General features: G+C 39.1%; 1 long non-coding RNA gene and 1 other non-coding gene across 3 annotated transcripts in view; both read left to right on the plus strand.

Annotated features, from left to right (window-relative positions):
- Window positions 1–12,351, plus strand: part of LOC107986178 (uncharacterized) — a 245,894-nt gene extending 233,543 nt beyond the window's left edge. For both annotated transcript variants that reach the window (NR_188484.1, NR_188485.1), the window contains 2 exons: window positions 671–1,020; window positions 12,243–12,351. This is a non-coding gene — a long non-coding RNA (uncharacterized LOC107986178). The remainder of the gene's footprint in view (window positions 1–670; window positions 1,021–12,242) is intronic.
- On the plus strand, window positions 5,663–5,733 carry MIR12113 (microRNA 12113). Its single transcript, NR_162127.1, has one exon. It is a non-coding gene; the product is annotated as a microRNA 12113 (primary transcript).
- Window positions 12,352–21,879: the final 9,528 nt, after the last annotated feature.

Raw genomic sequence — 21,879 nt, forward strand, 5'->3', positions numbered from 1 at the left:
GAAGATCACTCTCTTCTTGGATTGGGAAAGATAGTGTTGGGCTCTCAGAAAAGGCTGGAAGATTCTTGTTGCAGCGGTTTACAAGGTTTAGTAGGAACATTCTAGATGAGAACATGAGTGGGTGGAGATTCTAGGAATACGTGGCACACTATGTTAAGCAAAGATACATGGTGTTTTTTGAGAAAGAGTAAGTCATTTATCATTATTAGAGTATAAAGCATAAAGGGAGAGGTGGGAGGCTACATGTTTAAAGAGATTAAAAGGTGCCAACTTATGAAACTCATTTAGGAGGAAATTAGGTGGTTCCAAAGGTTGTAAGTAGCAGAAATTCATGATCAAACATAGCTTGCTATTTGCCGCTTTTATATACTGTATTTCTGAAAACATAAATTATAATGCTTTTAGCACAATTAAAATTATAATAGTAAAAATAACGTTCACTAAGCACTTACTGTATACTATGACCTTTGCTAAAGCCTTTTCATTTGTTATCTCTTTTAATATCTAAAGCAACCCTGAGGGAGGGAGGAGTGTTGTCCACATGGCAGAGTGGATGATAAATGGTAGGACCACGGTTCAAATGGAAAGCTCCCCACTCCAAAGCCCAGGCTCTCAACCTTCACTCCCCATGTATTTTTAAATAAAGCTCCCTTATCTTGTCTGAAAGCAGGAAGTTTCACATCACTAGAGAAGAGAGAAGAAGGACATTTGTACTGGGAGGAGTCGACCGGTCCCAGTAAGGAGAAAGTAGCTACAGCGTCATGGGTGAGCTGGGTCCCCCAAAAAGGAACTTTAAGGGAATGGACTGAATCAAGTCTGAGATGTCCCCAAAGCAAGACCAAAGAACTGAGGAAGAGAAGCATTCATCAGAAACCAAAATTCAGCTACAAGTGAGCATCCAGATGGAGGTATTATGAAGAGGAACTGAGACTGAGGGCAAAAGGTGCCAGCCAGAATCCTGGATAGGAGAGCAAGAACCAGGACCTCATTTAAGAGACAACCTGCTTAAGGCAGAGTAAGGTGAGATTGGATTCACGCAAAGACCTGGAATTCAAGTAGGTTAATGAACAGACAGTGTGTGCCTATACCACGAATTTACAATAATAATAAGGGTGCTAATAATCACATGGAATTGTAGAGTATAATGAAAATATACACACTGGAGAGAAATTGCACGGGTTGGCATCTCAGCTTTGTCATTTACTATAACAGTGACCTTGGGCAAGTTATTTAACCACTCTCTGCCTCAATTTCCTGATCAGTAAAATGAGCTAATAATACTTTCTTTTTATTTTGAGATGGAGTCTCACTCTTTCACTGAGGCTGGAGTGCAGTGGTGCGATCTCGGCTCACTGCAGCCTCCACCTCCCAGGTTCAAGCGATTCTCCTGCCTCAGCCTCCCCAGTAACCAGGATTACAAACATGCACCACCATACCCAGCTAACATAAATATGAATATATTATATATATATTTGTACTTTTAGTAGAGATGAGGTTTCACCATGTTGGCCAGGCTGGTCTTGAATTCCTGACCTCAAGTGATCTGCCTGCCTCGGTCTCCCAAAGTGCTGAGATTACAGGCATAAACCACCAGGCTTGCACTATTGATAATTATTATAGCATAAAGTTTTTCTGAGGACTAAATGGGGCAAAATACGTAAAACACTAATTATAATTATTGGCAAATCCCATAATGCTTGTTGTTATTAGTATACTTAGAATTATTTTAACATTAAAAACTGAAAACTGAAGCTCTGAGAGTCTGTGTGACTTTGAGGATTAAAGAACTGAAAAATGGTAGAAGTAGAATTTGAACTAAGAAAGTACGGTTATTGAATGCATGGATTTAATCCCTATTAAATACTTTATCTTCCAAAATCTATGACTCTTTAGTCTTCTTTGTTAACAAAACCTACTTTACGAAATACAGAACTCTCAGTTGTATATATCAAATAATATTTGTCTGTAGCTGAATTCTGTGAACGTATCCAGTCATCCATTCCATAGTTGTAAGAGCATTACTTTTTGAGACGGAGTCTTGCTCTGTTGCCCAGGCCGGAGTGCAGTGGCGCGATCTCGGCTCACTGCAGGCTCCACCTCCTGGGTTCACGCCATTCTCCCACCTCATCCTCCCGAGTAGCTGGGACTACAGGTGCCTGCCACCATGCCAGGCTGATTTTTTTTGCATTTTTAAGTAGAGATGGGGTTTCACCGTGTTAGCCAGGATGGTCTCGATCTCCCGACCTCTTGAAACCCCTGCCTCGGCCTCCCAAAGTGCTGGGATTACAGGCGTGAGCCACCGCGCTGGGCCCACTTGCTTTAATGAATGGCCGTGTTCATATATATACATAATAAAATGTTTCACCCATGTAGTTGCCCACTGCTTCTGAAATGCCATCAATCTCTGTTGATAAGCTGCATTGATTTTGTTATAAATTTGCAACTGTGGAAAATAAACATAGACCTGTCCAGCTGTTCACTTCCTCAAGCGACTTATCTCCATCTGTTGTGATCAATCTATTCTAGCACTCCTTCAGACTCCCTGCCAATTAATTAATGCCCCTTTGTAAGGTGCTTTCTTCTTGAGTTCTTCCATGGGGCTTTCCCCAGTATAGGTGAGAGTAGTGGTGAGCCATGAATCAGAGAATAGTAACAATGGTCTGGGGTAGGCAGAGAGGGTGGAATTCAACTTGACCAGTGTGTCATCCTCAATAGCAAAGAACTCTTTTTCTCCTTTGAGCAGAAAGTCAGTGGCTCCTGTTAAGCAATCACTTGATGCCCTCTAAGATCTGAACTCTGCTTAGAGCCCCAGGTTCATCTTGCCATCCTGTACCCATCCTGGCCTTCAGTCAACTGCACTTAGAGACGTCTGAATAACCTGCACCCTCTGTCTTCGCTGTGATTTTGCATGTGCTGCTCTCTCTGGAAAAGTTTCTTTCCCCCTATTTTGTTTCACTTGATAATCTCACATCCTGCTAATGTATCATATATGCAGGCTACCTTCACAGGCGCTTCCGCCTGTATTAGTTTGTTAGTTTTACTGTAACAAACTGCCACAGACTGAGTAGCTTAAACAGCAGAAATTTCTCACAATTCTGGAAGCTAAAAGTTCAAAGTCAAGGTGTCGACAGATTTCGTTTCTTTTAAGGCCCCTCTTCTTGGATTATGGATGGCAATCTTCTCCCTGTATCTTCACGTGGTCTTTCTTCTCTTTCTGTGTCCAAATCTCTTCTTATAAAAGACACCAGTTATATTGAATTAGTGCCCACCCTAAAGCCTCATTTTAATTATCTTTTAAAAAACCCTGTCTCTGAAAACAGTCACAGTTTGAGATACTTGGGATTAGGATTTCAATGTATGAATATAAAGGAGACACAATTCAGCTTGTCACGGGCATTAACTCCAAAAGAGTCCCTTCTGCTGATATTCCTGGCAAGCAACAAGTGCCTCCCTCAGAGCTGGGCTCAGCTGTGTCACGATTATGTGTTCAGATGTCACCTACTGTAGGCTGTGATCTCTCAAGTCGTGACCTGGCTCCTGTTAGTCTCCTCTCCTCAGTTAGGTAGCAAACTTGTTGGCAGTGTAGGTGGCTAATTGGTAAATTGGCAAATGATCCAGAAAAAGAGGATCTTGTTAATGGAAATTGTAGTTATTTACTAAACATAATTATGAATTTGTCTTTTTATCTATCTTCTGTCTTTCTTCCACGTACCACTTAACTGCCATTAATTAGGAGATCGGATATGTCTATAAGTTGCTTTCTACTATAAAGAAAAATTAAGTAATTTTAATTTCTTCATCAACTTTCAAGATCACACTTAACTTTTATTCGTGCTTAAGTATAATGTTTTTTTATTTTTGTATTTCCCGATATCTTAAAGGATGCGCCTATATTATGCAATTAGCAGCAGTTAGCATATGGCTATGAGACACGGTGGCTGTGGATGATTTTCCATAGGAGGCATGCTTTAACTTGGACTTGCAAAGGTGGGGAGTGAGGTGGGATGCAAATAGGTGAACTAGCAAAAGAATATGAAAAGAATACGGAATACACTGTTTGACCTCCCGTCCAGAATTCTCTTCCGGTCATACATGCTTTAGGAAAAAAGGCCATCATTTTGCATGAGTTTCTCAACCTTTGTACTGGACATCCTTCTATTTACCTGACTTTTCATCAGTCACTAAGAGACCTTCTGAGGATACAGAAAGGACTAGGAAATAGCAACAAACAGTGGGACAAGAGGTCTGCAATAGGATGGCTAGTTTGAAAAAGTCAAGGCTGGGCCCAGTGGCTCACGCCTGTAATCTCAGCATTTTGGGAGCCTGAGGAGGGTGTATCATAAGGTCAGGAGATCGAGACTATCCTGGCCAACAGGGTGAAACCCCATCTCTACTACAAATACAAAAATTAGCCAGGTGCAGGGGCAGGCACCTGTAGTCTCAGATACTCGGGAGTCTGAGGCAGGAGAATCACTTGAACCTAGGAGGTGGAGGCTGCAATGAGCTGAGATTGCACCACTGCACTCCAGCCTGGGTGACAGAGCGAGACTGAAAAAAAAAAAAAAAGTCAAAAAATAACAGATGTTGGTGAGGTTGTAGAGAAAAGGGAATGCTTAGACACTGTTGGTGGGAGTGTAAATTAGTTCAGCCATTGTGGAAAGTGTGGCAATTTCTCAAAGAACTAAAAACAAAGTTACCATTCAACCCAGAAATTCCATTACTGGGTATATACTCCCCAAAATATAAATTATTCTTCCATAAGGAGACACGCACATGTATGCTCATTGCAGCATTAGTCACAATAGCAAAGACATAGAATCAATCTAAATGTCCATAAATGGTAGACTGGATAAACAAAATGCGCTACACATACACCATGGAATACTATGCAAACATATAAAAGAATGATATACTATCCCTTGCAGGAAATCAAGCTAAATGCTCATCAACAGTAGACTGGATAAAGAATATGTGGTACATATACACTGTGGAATATTATGCAGCCATACAAAAGAATGAGATCATGTCCTCTGCAGGAACATGGATGTAGCTGGAGGCTATCATACTTAGCTAACTAATGCAGGAACAGAAAACCAAATATGACATATTCTCACCTGTAAGTGGGAGCTATATGATGAGAACACATGGACACAAAGAAGGGAACAGACACAGGGGCCTACTTGAGGGAGAAAGGTGGGAGAAGGGTAAGTATCAGATAAAACAACTGTTGGGTACTAGGCTTAGTACGTGGGTGACTAAACAATACACACATTAAACCCCCATGACATAAGTTTGCCTATAGAACTAACCTGCACATGTATCCGTGAACCTAAAATAGAAGTTAAAATAAAAAAGTTCTGGGACGAAGCTGGGGCTGGACAAGAAGAGACAAAGAAGGTACCTGATGGATGAGATCCACTGGAGCTGTAAATCTTCAGCACTTACATCCACTGCCCTGCTGGCTCACGGCCGTGTTTGCTTCAGGTGTTTAACGAACTGCTGAGAGATCAATAGCATGTGGCAGATAACTGAAAAATTTCCCTTGACTCAATCAAGTGTCTTAAATCCTCATTAATTCTGATGACGTAAGCCCTTTCTGATTAGCTTAGTTGCTAAATATCCACTCAAAACTGTTGATAAGGGCATAAGAAACTTCATTTCCTTAGACCTCTGAACTCTATGTGGGATTAGCAGTTCATTGCTGCTAATCCCACAGAGAGTTCAGAGGTCTAAAATTTTTATTAAATGATATCTTTTCCACAAACATTACACACACAAACACACTTTAAAAGTATTTATTCATTCATTAAATATATGTATTGCATGGCTAGTATGTACCCAACGTTGAATCATTTTTCAGTACACAAAGCTGAAAACATTGAAGTCTGAATGAATTTAAAATGTGAGCAGAGAAGCATGCTTCTGACCAAGTAATTTCAGTGTAATACCAAATGTGAAACTGCTTTCATTGACCAAACTAGGCTTTCAAAGATAAATACAAAAGCTAGCTTCATTCTTTCTTCCATTGCTACTTCAAATTTACTCTCTAGAATGGTACTTTTTCTTGTTTAAAATTATAGAACAATTCCACAACTTTCCTGATTAGTGTTAGATAAGATTCCATCTCCTCATCCGTTTTGGACATTAAAAATCCAGGTAATAATAGCCAAATAACTCCAATTCAAGTTAAGGCCATAGGAATATTCAGGACTCTTAGCCACATTAAAGCCCAGGATCTGATTCAAGCTCAAATGTTTTCAGTAGGCAGTGAGTCAAAATTTGCTTCTTCTCTCTTTGACTCATACTTGCAAAGGTTGGCTACTGATGACTTTGGCTACATTTCTCTCTAGGAATGACCCTTCACTAAAGAGAATTGTTACCTGGAATTCCTCTTTCCTTGGCTTATATATAAATTAACCACCAGGTATCAGGATAAAAACTACTATATCAAAGAGTCCATTTCAAAACTCTCCAATCTAGTTATTTCTCTGGGTTATTCACCAATGATTACTGGATATTTACCAATAGCATCACCCAGGACCCCTTTGTGTGATATTGCCCCATGCTGATGTTCATAAGTGTTATACCTGTCGTGCACTTACTCTGCAAAGAGGGGAGAAAAATACACCTCCATGCTTACTCACTGTATCCCCAGGATGGAGCACTGTGCTCAGTATATATTAGAAATTTGGCAAACATTTGCTGAACAACTGGAACCAAAAACAATATTGCAGTGCTTTAATTCCAGTAAATTGTTTCTTTGTTAGTTTGCCAAGAGATAGAAGGCTTCATTTACTACCAACTGATACCAACGTGAGTTAAAACTTCCTCCACAGCTTTTAGCAAGCCCTCTTAAAGACAAGAGGAAACGTAAAAATAAATGAAATAAAAACTCAAAGTAAGAAAACATCTTAACCTCTGTAATAGTACTGTCAGAAATATAACGTGTACTACAAATGCAAGCTACCTGCATATTCAGTTTTCTTGTAGTCACATCAAAAAACAGGAAAAAGCTAAAATGAATTTTACTGATTAATGTATTTTATTTAATATATTAAAAATATTATTTCACCATGTAATCAATATAAACACTGTTAGATGCTTTGAATTCTGCCTTAGTAACAGTTTTTAAAATCAAATGTACTTTATACTTACAGCAAAATATACAACATGTACATCTGCAAAATGTAAGGATATAAGTGTTACAAAAAATCTCAATTAGTAGAAGTAACATTTCCAGTGTTAAATAGCCACATATGCCTAGTAACTATTATGTCATACAGTGCAGGTGGATAATGTACTCCAACAGGGAATTCTAAGATATATTTCCCCAAACCTCACAGTATTATCTATTATTTTTATGTGTATGTATGTATATATGTAATGTTTTGTTTTCCAAAACATGTTTTGTAATTCTAGCTGCTAGCAATATCTGGGCTCCAGATTTGCATTTGGTTACTTTGAAGCAACTGTAATTTTCTCCTGCATATATTAAAGAAAACTTTTCAGACAATTTAGTTATAAGCATTGGCCAGTGTTTTGTTAGTCTTGCACTACAGATCTTTTAAAAAGCCCCCAATGACCAATTCAAAGATTTACTCTTGGTTAGTATTTCGCAGGGCAAGAGAAGGAATAGGTAACTTTGTTAGATTATCTATTAAATACCAATAATCATGTTAAATACTGGAAGAAAAGAAAGTCTCCTTCAAGGGCATTGGATTCTTGGCTAACAGTAAGCTGGCAGTCAACTGGGTTGGTGAAGTTCTCTGGATATAGCTTAATCTTATTAAAATCCAGCAGAAAATCACTTATCATTTTGTCTGGAATACTAATTTCTTCCCAGAAGAAGGGTATTGTGAACTACATTGCTCAAAAGTGTTTTTTGTTTTTTGTCTTTTCTACAGTAATGGTGTCATTACCTCCTGTTGTTTCAAATTTGGTTTTTTTAAAGAAATGAAATAGGACTAGGCTGGGCACAGTGGGTTCACGCCTGTAATCTCAGCACTTTGGGAGGCCAAGGCAGGCTGATCACTTGTGGTCAGGAGTTCGAAACCAGCCTGGCCAACATGATGAAACCCAGTCTCTACTAAAATACACACAAATTAGCTGGGGGTGGTGGCAGGCAACTTAATCCCAGATACTTGGGAGGCAGAGGCAGGAGAATCATTTGAACCCAGGAGGCGACGGTTGCAGTGAGCCAAGATCGAGCCATTGCACTGAAACCTGGGGGGATAAGAGCAAGACTTCTCTCAAAAAAAAAAAAAAAAAAAGAAATATGACTATTGATAAGTCTTAACTGTTAAAACATAGAGTGTGGGTAAGAAAGTTTTAGATAATGAGGTGAGAAAAAAAGGTTGGGCCTCTAAGTTTTTTATACCATTCTCAGGAGTTTGGATTGTATGTTTAGCCTCTGGAGAGCTATGTCCACGTCTGAAAAAGTAGAGGTAATTTAGAAAAATCTTATAATAAACCAGGATTGGAAACGTTGAGATTGCTATCAACACGTCAGCTTCCTAGACATCCTCAAGCCTTCCAGACTGGACTTACATGGAATGACAGAACTTAAATAAAAATGAATCCAATCTCATATAGAAGTAGTGGACAACTCAGCATCACTCACTAACTTCCCACTATTTTCCAGCATTTACAAGAGCTTGTATTTCTTATAATGTCTTCCTACTCAATATTTTGCTTTCTCTCAAGTCTTTAAATTTTCCCCCTTTTGTTTCTTATAGCTGTTCCCTTTTTCTGTACCAAATATTGATCCAAAGATTAAACAAAATTTATTTTACTTTGATTTTCTCAAGGCACTGCTCTGACAGGGCCATTTCTTCAAGTAGAATTTAATTAAATTTGGGAGTTAATGCCAAGTAGGTAACAGCAAAGATCCAATCAACACATAACTTATAATTAAATATTAGGTAGCTCCACCCTTCAAAGAATCCGAAAGATTTATCTCTTGGATGCCTTGTCTTCCAGAGATCCCGTGTCTCATTTTGAGTATGGCCATTTCTCTACCACTTACTCTTGCATTATTTTATTTCTGAGAGCACTTACTCTTTATGTCTGAATCCCAGGCCATCAAGATCATATCCTGAAAACTCTTTCCACACCAATGTTCCATTAAAGTGTTTGCAAAGCCATAGGTATCTTCTCCCTCAGATTTCTGCAATTAGCTCTTAAACCATCTCCTCCTCCCACCTTCCCCCCATGAAGACTTTTCAACTTCCTTAAAAATAATTTTAGGGGCCGGGCGCGGTGGCTCACGCCTGTAATCCCAGCACTTTGGGAGGCTGAGGCGGGCGGATCACGAGGGCAGGAGATTGAGACCATCCTGGCTAACATGGTGAAACCTCATCTCTACTAAAAACACAAAAAACTTAGTCGGGCATGGTGGCGGGCCCCTGTAATCTCAACTGCTAGGGAGGCTGACGCAGGAGAATGGCGTGAACCGAGCTTGCAGTGAACTGAGATTGCGCCACTGTACTCCATCCTGGGCGACTGAGCGAGACTCCGTCTCAAAGAATAATTCTAGGAAATGTAACATTAATGCCAACTAAGACAAAGAGGTAAAATCTCCACTCCCCAGAGATGGGGGAGATGGGGGAGATGGGGGATTCATGCTGTAGCAAGACACAACAGGCAGTGCTCCTATACGTAAGAGCAAGGATGCAAAATAAAAAATAAACGGCGGAAGTCTCCTCTGCAGGTGCCTGGTGAGGTCATTCTAAGCTTTCTCCGGTAAATGCAAATCATCAAGCAAAATCATGACATTTGTCAAGGAATTCTGAGGATGCCTTTTAGATTCTGGTCCACTTTCCCAATCAGACACCTCAAAACCATGCCTTCCACTTAGAATCAAAAAGATTTCTACATAATAATTCACTTAAAACAGTTCCACCTTTGGAAAGAGTGGTTTCATCTGTTACCTGTAGAATAGTCCAGATGAAAAAAGTTTTTGTAGTTATTGTAGCCCCTGTGTGAGAAAATGAAACATAGACTGGCAGCTTCATGCAAATACTGCAATTCTGCCTTTGTGTTCACAATGTGTAATCACTGTGTGCTGTGGAGTGAGCGCATGCTGCCTCTAAATGGAAGACCTCTGAAGCAAGGGGATCCTTAGGACCGTAACCTCGGCCCAGGCACATGCTCAGTTCCAACTCTGCATAATCAGCGTTGCAGCACCTTCTCTTCATTATTGAAATGGAACAATATTTTATTTTCAAACAGTATTTTTTGAAATGAAATACTGTTCGAAAAGCCTGCCCTATATTTTGCTTACCAGTTTTCTTTGTCATCCCTAGAATTAAAATAAGAAAGAATAAAACAAACAAAATCATTCTTCAACCAATCAACTCAAAATATGTTTCTATATTTAAATGTGTCTGAAATGCCCCTATTTTCTTCTGCATTTTATCATCACCTACCAAAATGTCAGGGTATAAGTGTCACAAAATTGTTTTACTTCAAGTTCAGCTGTTTTGTTGGAATTTATTAGACAAAGCTAAAGAGTTTTCTGTGTGGGAACAAAAGAGTGTTACATGCAATGTACAAAAATCCCTAAAACTTTTGGCATTTCTGCTTTAAGATGGGTAGAAATTGGCTGCAATTTTTTAAAATTATTATATAATATTTATCATTTGTTAGATTAACAAAATCATTTCAAAAGTTGGAATACCCCAAAAGTTTTATTAGGGGAAGGAGAGAAGAGTGGGAAAAAAAATAATAACATATATTGCCCAAACATTTTACGTAGATACCGGATCAGTTACTTTACATGCGTTATCACTAAATCTTCACCAAAACTTCAGGTCATAGGAGTTATGTGCCCCATTCACATTTAAGGTACATAAAGATTTAAAATTGTAATTCCATGGAAGTGAAATAGAAAATTTAGACTACATTTTGTCAAGCTGGAGAGTTATTGTGTTCCACTTTCATCAATCAGGGATCTTCCAGGAGAGGTTAAAAATAAGAGAGAAAAGTGAATGTGCTTCCAATAATTATAAGTATTTTTAGTGTAGCCAAAGAAGGCAATTAAGAAGAGATTTCATATGCATTTGCTCAAAGCATGTTGTGAACTCTGCATTTGGCCCTGACTTCAGACTCAGGTTAGAAGCCGCAGAGCAAAATAAAGCCTCATTATGTTATAGTACCACGGAGTCACTGATTTCAAGCAGTGTCCACAGCTTCCCATCAGCCATCTTCATTAGTCTTGATTCCAAACGCTTTTGGCAGTTTCGAGATATTCAGTCAACTTCCAAAGGACTAAGATTTTGCCAAGTGTTGTCACTGGTTAGCATAGAGAAGAGTCAGCACCAAAGGTAGTTCCCCAAAAACGGCAGTTTCAGAGTTCTTTTTAGTAATGGCAGCCCTGTTGGTATGAATGGAGCGCTGCCTACAGGGACAGTTAGGAGATAGGAGTGCAAATTCTCAAGCAGCTGGTTAAAATTAGCACTTTCTTCAATCATGAATACCTCCGCATGACCAAATGTGTCAACAAAATATGCTTATTTTAGGAGTTTACTTATATGTAACTGAAAATATAACTTAAACATCAGGTGATTTTATTCAGTAATAGATGCAGATATTTCAGATTATATAAAAGTACCTTATGATATAAACTGTTAGGCTAAAAACTTTAAATACATGAGTACGTATGTATGTGTATATATGTGCATATATAAATATATATGTGTATATATATTTCAGATTTTTTAACATTTGTGTGTGCATAATATGTATGGATGTGTTTCTAGAAGCCAGATGGTTATAATTCCAGTGATGCAGATATAATATGATATCAATTAACTTGGCAATATAGCCCAGGGGAAGGAGGTAAACAAAAGTCACAGCTCTGGTAAAAAGAAAAATAATATTTACAAACTTCTGTTTAAAATACAAAGGTGAGATGATCAATTAAGGAGCCAGAAGTTCAGGAAGTTAATTGAGATCCAGTCCACTAAGAGCTTTCAATGTCAAAGTAATATCTTAATTATAAACCTAATACAATTTTCATCTGTTTGATATCTGCTGCCAAGGACAAGTAATGTATAATTTTATCTCATCAAAATATCCCAGCCAGTTCAAGAATCAGAGGTGTTATAGCTTGAGAAGATTAATGTCTATAGATGGGACACAGTTTGGCTATTTGTATTATTATTTTTTGAATAGCAATTTTTTTGGCAATGTTCCCTGGTTGTTTTTCATTTATTTCTCTTTTTTTTTTTTTAACAAATTAGCACAAATGGGCACTCAACATCAATGAAGTAACAGCAAAGTCACATAATAAAAGCATGGAATTAAGACAAGCTGAAGATTCGGATGCAATAAAACAACCACCCATTATTATCTCAGTGGTTACTGTGCCTCATTTAATCTAATTCTACTTTGTTCACGTGAACAAATTAACTTTTAAAAATTAACTTTATTGAGGTAAAATTTACATAGGATCAAATCCAGTCATTTAAAATGCTCAATAAGTTTTAACAATATATATACCTATGCAACCACTTCATACGTATTTTTACACACTGCATGTGTGTACATATATGTACACTCACACTACATATTTGTGTACATTCAAATACACATACTACATAAATATAAGTAACTATATACTATGTATACACTATATATATATATAAACTGCTTATATGCTTGATTATATAATAAGCAGTGAAACTCCAATTTCCAAATGACACTGTGGTATAGTGGGAAACGCATTTGACTATAAATCAAGAAATCTAAATACTGGTGTTTGAGGGAGTCTGCTAAATAGCACTTTTTCTCTCTCAGCTCTGCACGCATTGAGGAATGAGGTAAAAGACTAAGATGGGAAAGAGACAGTGATGAGCTGAATCTGTCTTGTGTAACCTTATGAGAGCTAATTGTGTGCATGTCTTTTCAAGTCCTCATTCATTGACGTCACGGTCATAGTGAAATGAGTCTAGGTGGAGGTATTTATACCACAGAAGTCTGCAGATGCTGCAAGTCTGATATTTTTTTCTTAGAGTCAAGTGTTAGTTTATCAGCATGATCCTATTAAGATATCAAAATATTACTATTACTAATGGAGAAAATATTGGTCAAGTGGGCCTCCCAGTGCTGAACTTGGAATTTAGAGTTTTCATTCTCATCCTGGCACCATAGTCCATTCCCAGACTACCTGGTCTCTGGAATGAGCTCCCTGCATAGCCAACAGCTATAAAAACTCATGCCTTATGTAAGGAGGTCTTCCCCAAAGAAAAAGAAAGGAGCACCTTGGCTATATATGCCCTGGCCTTGCTTTTGCATAAACTAATTAGATAAGCAATCCATCTCCCATGGGAGGACAGATAGGGGCAAACAGAGGCAGGGGTTTTATACTGATGGAACCCCTTTACTTTGAAGAAAATCTCAAATGTGAGGGAGAATCTGCCCATATTTTCCCTGCACCCCCAAAGCTGAATTTAGGACAGTTCTGTTTCTAAATATTTCTTGGGCCCATTATTAATGCTTTTGTAAGAATAGTTTCCACCACTATAAAATAATTTTTAAAATAGCTTCAGATAATTTCAAAGGGGCCTCTGATGCCACATTTCTATTATTTACAATTCTAGGTTTCTGTATCTGTAATGTACTGCAGCAAAAGTTTGAATTCTATTTTAGTGCATTTATAAATTCTAAGGAACTGATCCTTTCCACTCTGCAACCCCACCTTTCATCAGGTCATTTTTGAAAGCTTTTAACAGAGGGCAAATGGGAAGAGTGCTTTGACCTTCTTCGACATGAGACCAAAGTCAGCGTGAATAAATGAGCTGCTATTCTAATATATATGATGGATCTATTTCATATTATTATCTAGCAGCTGAAGTGAAGTTTTCTTTTCCCTTCTGAGTTTATTGTTGAAAATAACTGCCTTTTCACCTAAAAAGAACTCTAGCTGCAGATTCTTGCAGATTTGATCTTACTCAGTGATTGTCAAGAAGTTCATAGACCTTCAAATATGTGATTGCCCGTGTTGTGTGCTTCTACTTCTTTTATGGTTCTTATTATTCTCTGATATAACTTGTTTTTAATCAACCTATGAGTTCCTTGAGTCTTTCATCTGTATCCTTAATGTCCAGTGGAGTGATTGGAATGACAGTAGTTTGCAATATTTACTAGAGGTTTCAGGAAATGTATGATGAGCCAAGACTGTTCTGAAGTATTTATCTAACTCATGGTCAAAAATACATATGCATACAGCAGCCAGTTCCAATGCCTGGAGATGCAGGGATTTCAGATGAAAATGTCTAACAACAGGAATTCAGTTGTTTTAGTCTGTTTCGTGTTGCTATAACAAAATATCTAAGACTGGGTAGTTTATAGGAAGAGTTTTATTTGGCTTATGATTCTACAGACTGGAAAGTTCAAGACTGGGCATCTGCAGCTGATGAAGGCATCAGGCTGCTTCAAATCATGGTGGAAAGCAAAAAGGGAAGCAAACTGGCATATGCAAGGAGGTCACATGGCAAAAGAGGAAGGAGGAGAGAAAAACTGAGGAAGTCAGCCTATTTTTAACGACCTGCTCTTGCAGGAACTAATTTATTTTAGTGAGAGTGAGAACACATTCAATCCTCATGGGTGGGCATTCATCTATTAATGAAGGATCTACCCTCATAACTCAAGCACCTCTCCCTCGGCCCCATCTCTCAATGCAACGCAGCCACATTAGGTATCAAATTTTAACAGGAGTTTTGGTGGGAGCAAAGCAAACCTTAGTACCAATCAAAAAAGCAGTCATTGTGTGCTTCAACTAAATGTGACCCTTTGATCCAAACTCACTTCTCTATTACAATATACCACCATGTATGCTATTAATTGAATTACTTCTAACATCAAGGGAAAATCAGAACTCAAATGAGCATGATGACAAAGACTGATGTGGAGGTCATTTTGTTTGATCTTCTAAATCAGCAGAGTAGGAGAGCAAATCCCCCCTGCAGGAGGCAGGACATCTTTCCCTGCTATCAAATGAACAATCATAGACAACACAATGACTTGCAAAACCTAATTTTAATTATAAAAAAAAATCCAAATTGGAATGATGATGCTTGAATTACTTCAATGTCTTTTCAGAAGCAAAGTTAACTTTAAAAATAAACCATTTACTTATAAAATTGCCAAACAAATATTTGTAGATTGCCCTGTGTACGTCAAGGGTTGCTCAAAGCAGGGTAGAGGGAAAGTATACAGATAACCTATGCAAAACAAAAATTTGAGGGGAGGAGCCAAGATGGCCAAATAGGAACAGCTCCAGTCTACAGCTCCCAGCCTGAGCGACGCAGAAGACGGGTGATTTCTGCATTTCCATCTGAGGTACCAGGTTCATCTCACTAGGGAGTGCCAGACAGTGGGCGCAGGTCAGTGGATGCGTGCACCATGCGTGAGCCGAAGCAGGGCGAGGCATTGCCTCACCTGGGAAGCCCAAGGGGTCAGGGAGTTCCCTTTCCTAATCAAAGAAAGGGGTGACGGATGGCACCTGGAAAATCGGGTCACTCCCACCCGAATACTGCGCTTTTCCAACAGGCTTAAAAAACAGTGCACCACGAGATTATATCCCGCACCTAGCTTGGAGGGTCCTACCCCATGGAGTCTCGCTGATTGCTAGCACAGCAGTCTGAGATCAAACTGCAAGGTGGCAGCGAGGCTGGGGGAGGGGCGCCCGCCATTGCCCAGGCTTGCTTAGGTAAACAAAGCAGCTGGGAAGCTCGAACTGGGTGGAGCCCACCACAGCTCAAGGAGGCCTGCATGCCTCTGTAGGCTCCACCTCTGGGGGCAGGGCACAGACAAACAAAAAGACAGCAGTAACCTCTGCAGACTTAAATGTCCCTGTCTGACAGCTTTGAAGAGAGCAGGGGTTCTCCCAGTACGCAGCTGGAGATCTGAGAATGGGCAGACTGCCTCCTCAAGTGGGTCCCTGACCCCTGAACCCCGAGCAGCCTAACTGGGAGGCACCCTCCAGCAGGGGCACACTGACACCTCACACTGCAGGGTACTCCAACAGACCTGCAGCTGAGGGTCCTGTCTGTTAGAAGGAAAACTAACAAACAGAAAGGACATCCACACCAAAAACCCATCTGTACATCACCATCATCAAAGACCAAAAGTAGATAAAACCACAAAGATGGGGAAAAAACAGAACAGAAAAACTGGAAACTCTAAAAAGCAGAGCACCTCTCCTCCTCCAAAGGAACGCAGTTCCTCACCAGCAACGGAACAAAGCTGGATGGAGAATGACTTTGACGAGCTGAGAGAAGAAGGCTTCAGACGATCAAATTACTCTGAGCTACGGGAGGACATTCAAACCAAAGGCAAAGAAGTTGAAAACTTTGAAAAAAATTTAGAAGAATGTATAACTAGAATAACCAATTCAGAGAAGTGCTTAAAGGAGCTGATGGAGCTGAAAACCAAGGCTCGAGAACTACGTGAAGAATGCAGAAGCCTCAGGAGCCGACGTGATCAACTGGAAGAAAGGGTATCAGTGATGGAAGATGAAATGAATGAAATGAAGCGAGAAGAGAAGTTTAGATAAAAAAGAATAAAAAGAAATGAGCAAAGCCTACAAGAAATATGGGACTATGTGAAAAGACCAAATCTATGTCTGATTAGTGTACCTGAAAGTGACGGGGAGAATGGAACCAAGTTGGAAAACACTCTGCAGGATATTATCCAGGAGAACTTCCCCAATCTAGCAAGGCAGGCCAACATTCAGATTCAGGAAATACAGAGAACGCCATAAAGATACTCATCGAGAAGAGCAACTCCAAGACACATAATTGGCAGATTCACCAAAGTTGAAATGAAGGAAAAAATGTTAAGGGCAGCCAGAGAGAAAGGTCAGGTTACCCTCAAAGGGAAGCCCATCAGACTAACAGCAGATCTCTCGGCAGAAACCCTACAAGCCAGAAGAGAGTGGGGACCAATATTCAACATTCTTAAAGAAAAGAATTTTCAACCCAGAATTTCATATCCAGCCAAACTAAGCTTCATAAGTGAAGGAGAAATAAAATACTTTACAGACAAGCAAATGCTGAGAGATTTTGTCACCACCAGACCTGCCCTAAAAGAGCTCCTGAAGGAAGCGCTAAACATGGAAAGGAACAACCAGTACCAGCCGCTGCAAAATCATGCCAAAATGTAAAGACCATCGAGACTAGGAAGAAACTGCATCAACTACTGAGCAAAATAACCAGCTAACATCATAATGACAGGATCAAATTCACACATAACAATATTAATTTTAAATGTAAATGGACTAAATGCCCCAATTAAAAGACACAGACTGGCAAATTGGATAAAGAGTCAAGATCCATCAGTGTGCTGTATTCAGGAAACCCATCTCATGTGCAGAGACACACATAGGCTCAAAATAAAGGGATGGAGGAAGATCTACAAAGCAAATGGAAAACAAAAAAAGGCAGGGGTTGCAATCCTAGTCTCTGATAAAACAGACTTTAAACCAACAAAGATCAAAAGAGACAAAGAAGGCCATTACATAATGGTAAAGGGATCAATTCAACAAGAAGAGCTAACTATCCTAAATATATATGCACCCAATACAGGAGCACCCAGATTCATAAAGCAAGTCCTGAATGACCTACAAAGAGACTTAGACTCCCACACATTAATAATGGGAGACTTTAACACCCCACTGTCAACATTAGACAGATCAACGAGACAGAAAGTCAACAAGGATACCCAGGAATTGAACTCAAATATACATTTTTTTCAGCACCACACCACACCTATTCCAAAATTGACCACACATTTGGAAGTAAAGCTCTCCTCAGCAAATGTAAAAGAACAGACATTATAACAAACTATCTCTCAGACCACAGTGCAATCAAACTAGAACTCAGGATTAAGAATCTCACTCAAAACTGCTCAACTACATGGAAACTGACCAACCTGCTCCTGAATGACTACTGGGTACATAACGAAATGAAGGCAGAAATAAAGATGTTCTTTGAAACCAACGAGAACAAAGACACAACATACCAGAATCTCTGGGATGCATTCAAAGCAGTGTGTAGAGGGAAATTTATAGCACTAAATGCCCACAAGAGAAAGCAGGAAAGATCCAAAATTGACACCCTAACATCACAATTAAAAGAACTAGAAAAGCAAGAGCAAACACATTCAAAAGCTAGCAGAAGGCAAGAAATAACTAAAGTCAGAGCAGAACTCAAGGAAATAGAGACACAAAAAACCCTTCAAAAAATTAGTGAATCCAGGAGCTGGTTTTTTGAAAGGATCAACAAAATTCATAGACCGCTAGCAAGACTAATAAAGAAAAAAAGAGAGAAGAATCAAATAGATGCAATAAAAAATGATAAAGGGGATATCACCACCAATCCCACAGAAATACAAACTACCATCAGAGAATACTACAAACACCTCTACACAAATAAACTAGAAAATATAAAAGAAATGGATAAATTCCTCGACACATACACTCTCCCAAGACTAAACCAGGAAGAAGTTGAATCTCTGAATAGACCAATAACGGGATCTGAAATTGTGGCAATAATCAATAGCTTACCAACCTAAAAGAGTCCAGGACCAGATGGATTCACAGCCGAATTCTACCAGAGGTATAAGGAGGAACTGGTACCATTCATTCTGAAACTATTCCAATCAATAGAAAAAGAGAGAATCTTCCCTAACTCATTTTATGAGGCCAGCATCATTCTGATACCAAAGCCGGGCAGAGACACAACCAAAAAAGAGAATTTTAGACCAATATCCTTGATGAACATTGATGCAAAAATCCTCAATAAAATACTGGCAAACCGAATCCAGCAGCACATCAAAAAGCTTATCCACCATGATCAAGTGGGCTTCATCCCTGGGATACAAGGCTGGTTCAATATACACAAATCAATAAATGTAATCCAGCATATAAACAGAACCAAAGACAAAAACCACATGATTATCTCAATAGATGCAGAAAAGGCCTTTGACAAAATTCAACAACCCTTCATGCTAAAAACTCTCAATAAATTAGGTATTGATGGGACATATTTCAAAATAATAAGAGCTATCTATGACAAACCCACAGCCAATATCATACTGAACGGGCAAAAACTGGAAGCATTCCCTTTGAAAACTGGCACAAGACAGGGATGCCCTCTCTCACCACTCCTATTCAACATAGTGTTGGAAATTCTGGCCAGGGCAATTAGGCAGGAGAAGGAAATAAAGGGTATTCAATTAGGAAAATAGGAAGTCAAATTGTCCCTGTTTGCAGACGACATGATTGTGTATCTAGAAAACCCCATTGTCTCAGCCCAAAATCTCCTTAAGCTGATAAGCAACTTCAGCAAAGTCTCAGGATACAAAATCAGTGTGCAAAAATCACAAGCATTCCTATACACCAACAACAGACAAACAGAGAGCCAAATCATGAGTGAACTCCCATTCACAATTGCTTCAAAGATAACAAAATACCTAGGAATCCAACTTACAAGGGATGTGAAGGACCTCTTCAAGGAGAACTACAAACCACTGCTCAAGGAAATAAAAGAGGATACAAACAAATGGAAGAACATTCCATGCTTATGGGTAGGAAGAATCAATATCATGAAAATGGCCAAACTGCCCAAGGTAATTTACAGATTCAATGCCATCCCCATCAAGCTACCAATGCCTTTCTTCACAGAATTGGAAAAATCTTCACAGAATTGGAAAAAACTACTTTAAAGTTCATATGGAACCAAAAAAGAGCCCGCATCACCAAGTCAATCCTAAGCCAAAAGAACAAAGCTGGAGGCATCACATTACCTGACTTAAAACTATACTACAAGGCTACAGTAACCAAAACAGCATGGTACTGGTACCAAAACAGAGATATAGATCAATGGAACAGAACAGAGCCCTCAGAAATAACGCTACATATCTACAACTATCTGATCTTTGACAAACCTGAGAAAAACAAGCAATGGGGAAAGGATTCCCTATTTAATAAATGGTGCTGGGAAAACTGGCTAGCCATATGTAGAAAGCTGAAACTGGATCCCTTCCTTACACCTTATACAAAAATCAATTCAAGATGGATTAAAGACTTAAACGTTAGACCTAAAACCATAAAAACCCTAGAAGAAAACCTAGGCATTACCATTCAGGACATAGGCAAGGGCAAGGACTTCATGTCTAAAACACCAAAAGCAATGGCAACAAAAGCCAAAATTGACAAATGGGATCTAATTAAACTAAAGAGCTTCTGCACAGCAAAAGAAACTACCATCAGAGTGAACAGGCAACCTACAAAATGGGAGAAAATTTTCACAACCTACTCACCTGACAAAGGGATAATATCCAGAATCTACAATGAACTCAAACAAATTTACAAGAAAAAAACAAACAACCCCATCAAAAAGTGGGCGAAGGACGTGAACAGACACTTCTCAAAAGAAGACATTTATGCAGCCAAAAAACACATGAAAAAATGCTCATCATCACTGGCCATCAGAGAAATGCAAATCAAAACCACTATGAGATACCATCTCACACCAGTTAGAATGGCAATCATTAAAAAGTCAGGAAACAACAGGTGCTGGAGAGGATGTGGAGAAATAGGAACACTTTTACACTGTTGGTGGGACTGTAAACTAGTTCAACCATTGTGGAAGTCAGTGTGGTGATTCCTCAGGGATCTAGAACTAGAAATACCATTTGACCCAGCCATCCCATTACTGGGTATATACCCAAAGGATTATAAATCATGCTGCTATAAAGACACATGCACACGTATGTTTATTGCGGCACTATTCACAATAGCAAAGACTTGCAACCAACCCAAATGTCCAACAATGATAGACTGGATTAAGAAAATGTGGCACATATACACCATGGAATACTATGCAGCCATAAAAAATGATGAGTTCTTGTCCTTTGTAGGGACATGGATGAAATTGGAAATCATCATTCTCAGTAAACTATCGCAATAACAAAAAACCAAACACCGCATATTCTCACTCATAGGTGGGAATTGAACAATGAGATCACATGGACACAGGAAGGGGAACATCACACTCTGGGGACTGTTGTGGGTGGGGGGAGGGGGGAGGGATAGCATTGGGAGATATACCTAATGCTAGATGATGAGTTAGTGGGTGCTGCACACCAGCAAGGCACATGTATCCGTATGTAACTAACCTGCACAATGTGCACATGTACCCTAAAACTTAAAGTATAATAAAAAAAAATAAATTAAAAAAATAACAGTGAATAAAATAAAACTAAATTTCAGTGAAACAAACAAACAAACAAAAAAAGAAAATGTGGCAAATATACACCACGGAACACTATGCAGCCATAAAAGATGATGAGTTCATGTCCTTTGTAGGGACATGGATGAAATTGGAAATCATCATTCTCAGTAAACTATCGCGAGGACAAAAAACCAAACACTGCATATTCTCACTCATAGGTGGGAACTGAACGATAAGAACACATGGACACAGCAAGGGGAACATCACACACTGGGGACTGTTGTGGGGTGGGGGGAGGGGGGAGGGATAGCATTAGGAGATATACCTAATGCTAAATGATGAGTTAATGGGTGCAGCACACCAGCATGGCACATGTGTACATATGTAACTAACCTGCACATTGTGCACATGTATCCTAAAACTTAAAGTATAATAATAATAAAAAAATAAAATAAAAATTAAAAAAAAAAAGAAAAATTTTGCACTGAACTCATGTTTACAACATGAGACAAATTTTCCTCTGGTTATTGCAGTAGGACAGAGAGAGGTTACTATAAACTGAGCTTAACTTCATTGAAACAACAGGCAAGAAGGAGGCTTTTAAAATGCTGTTGGAGGGTGGCCAATGTGACTCCGAGAT

Source organism: Homo sapiens, chromosome 4 (assembly GCF_000001405.40).
Source record: "Homo sapiens chromosome 4, GRCh38.p14 Primary Assembly".
Lineage (NCBI taxonomy): Eukaryota > Metazoa > Chordata > Mammalia > Primates > Hominidae > Homo > Homo sapiens.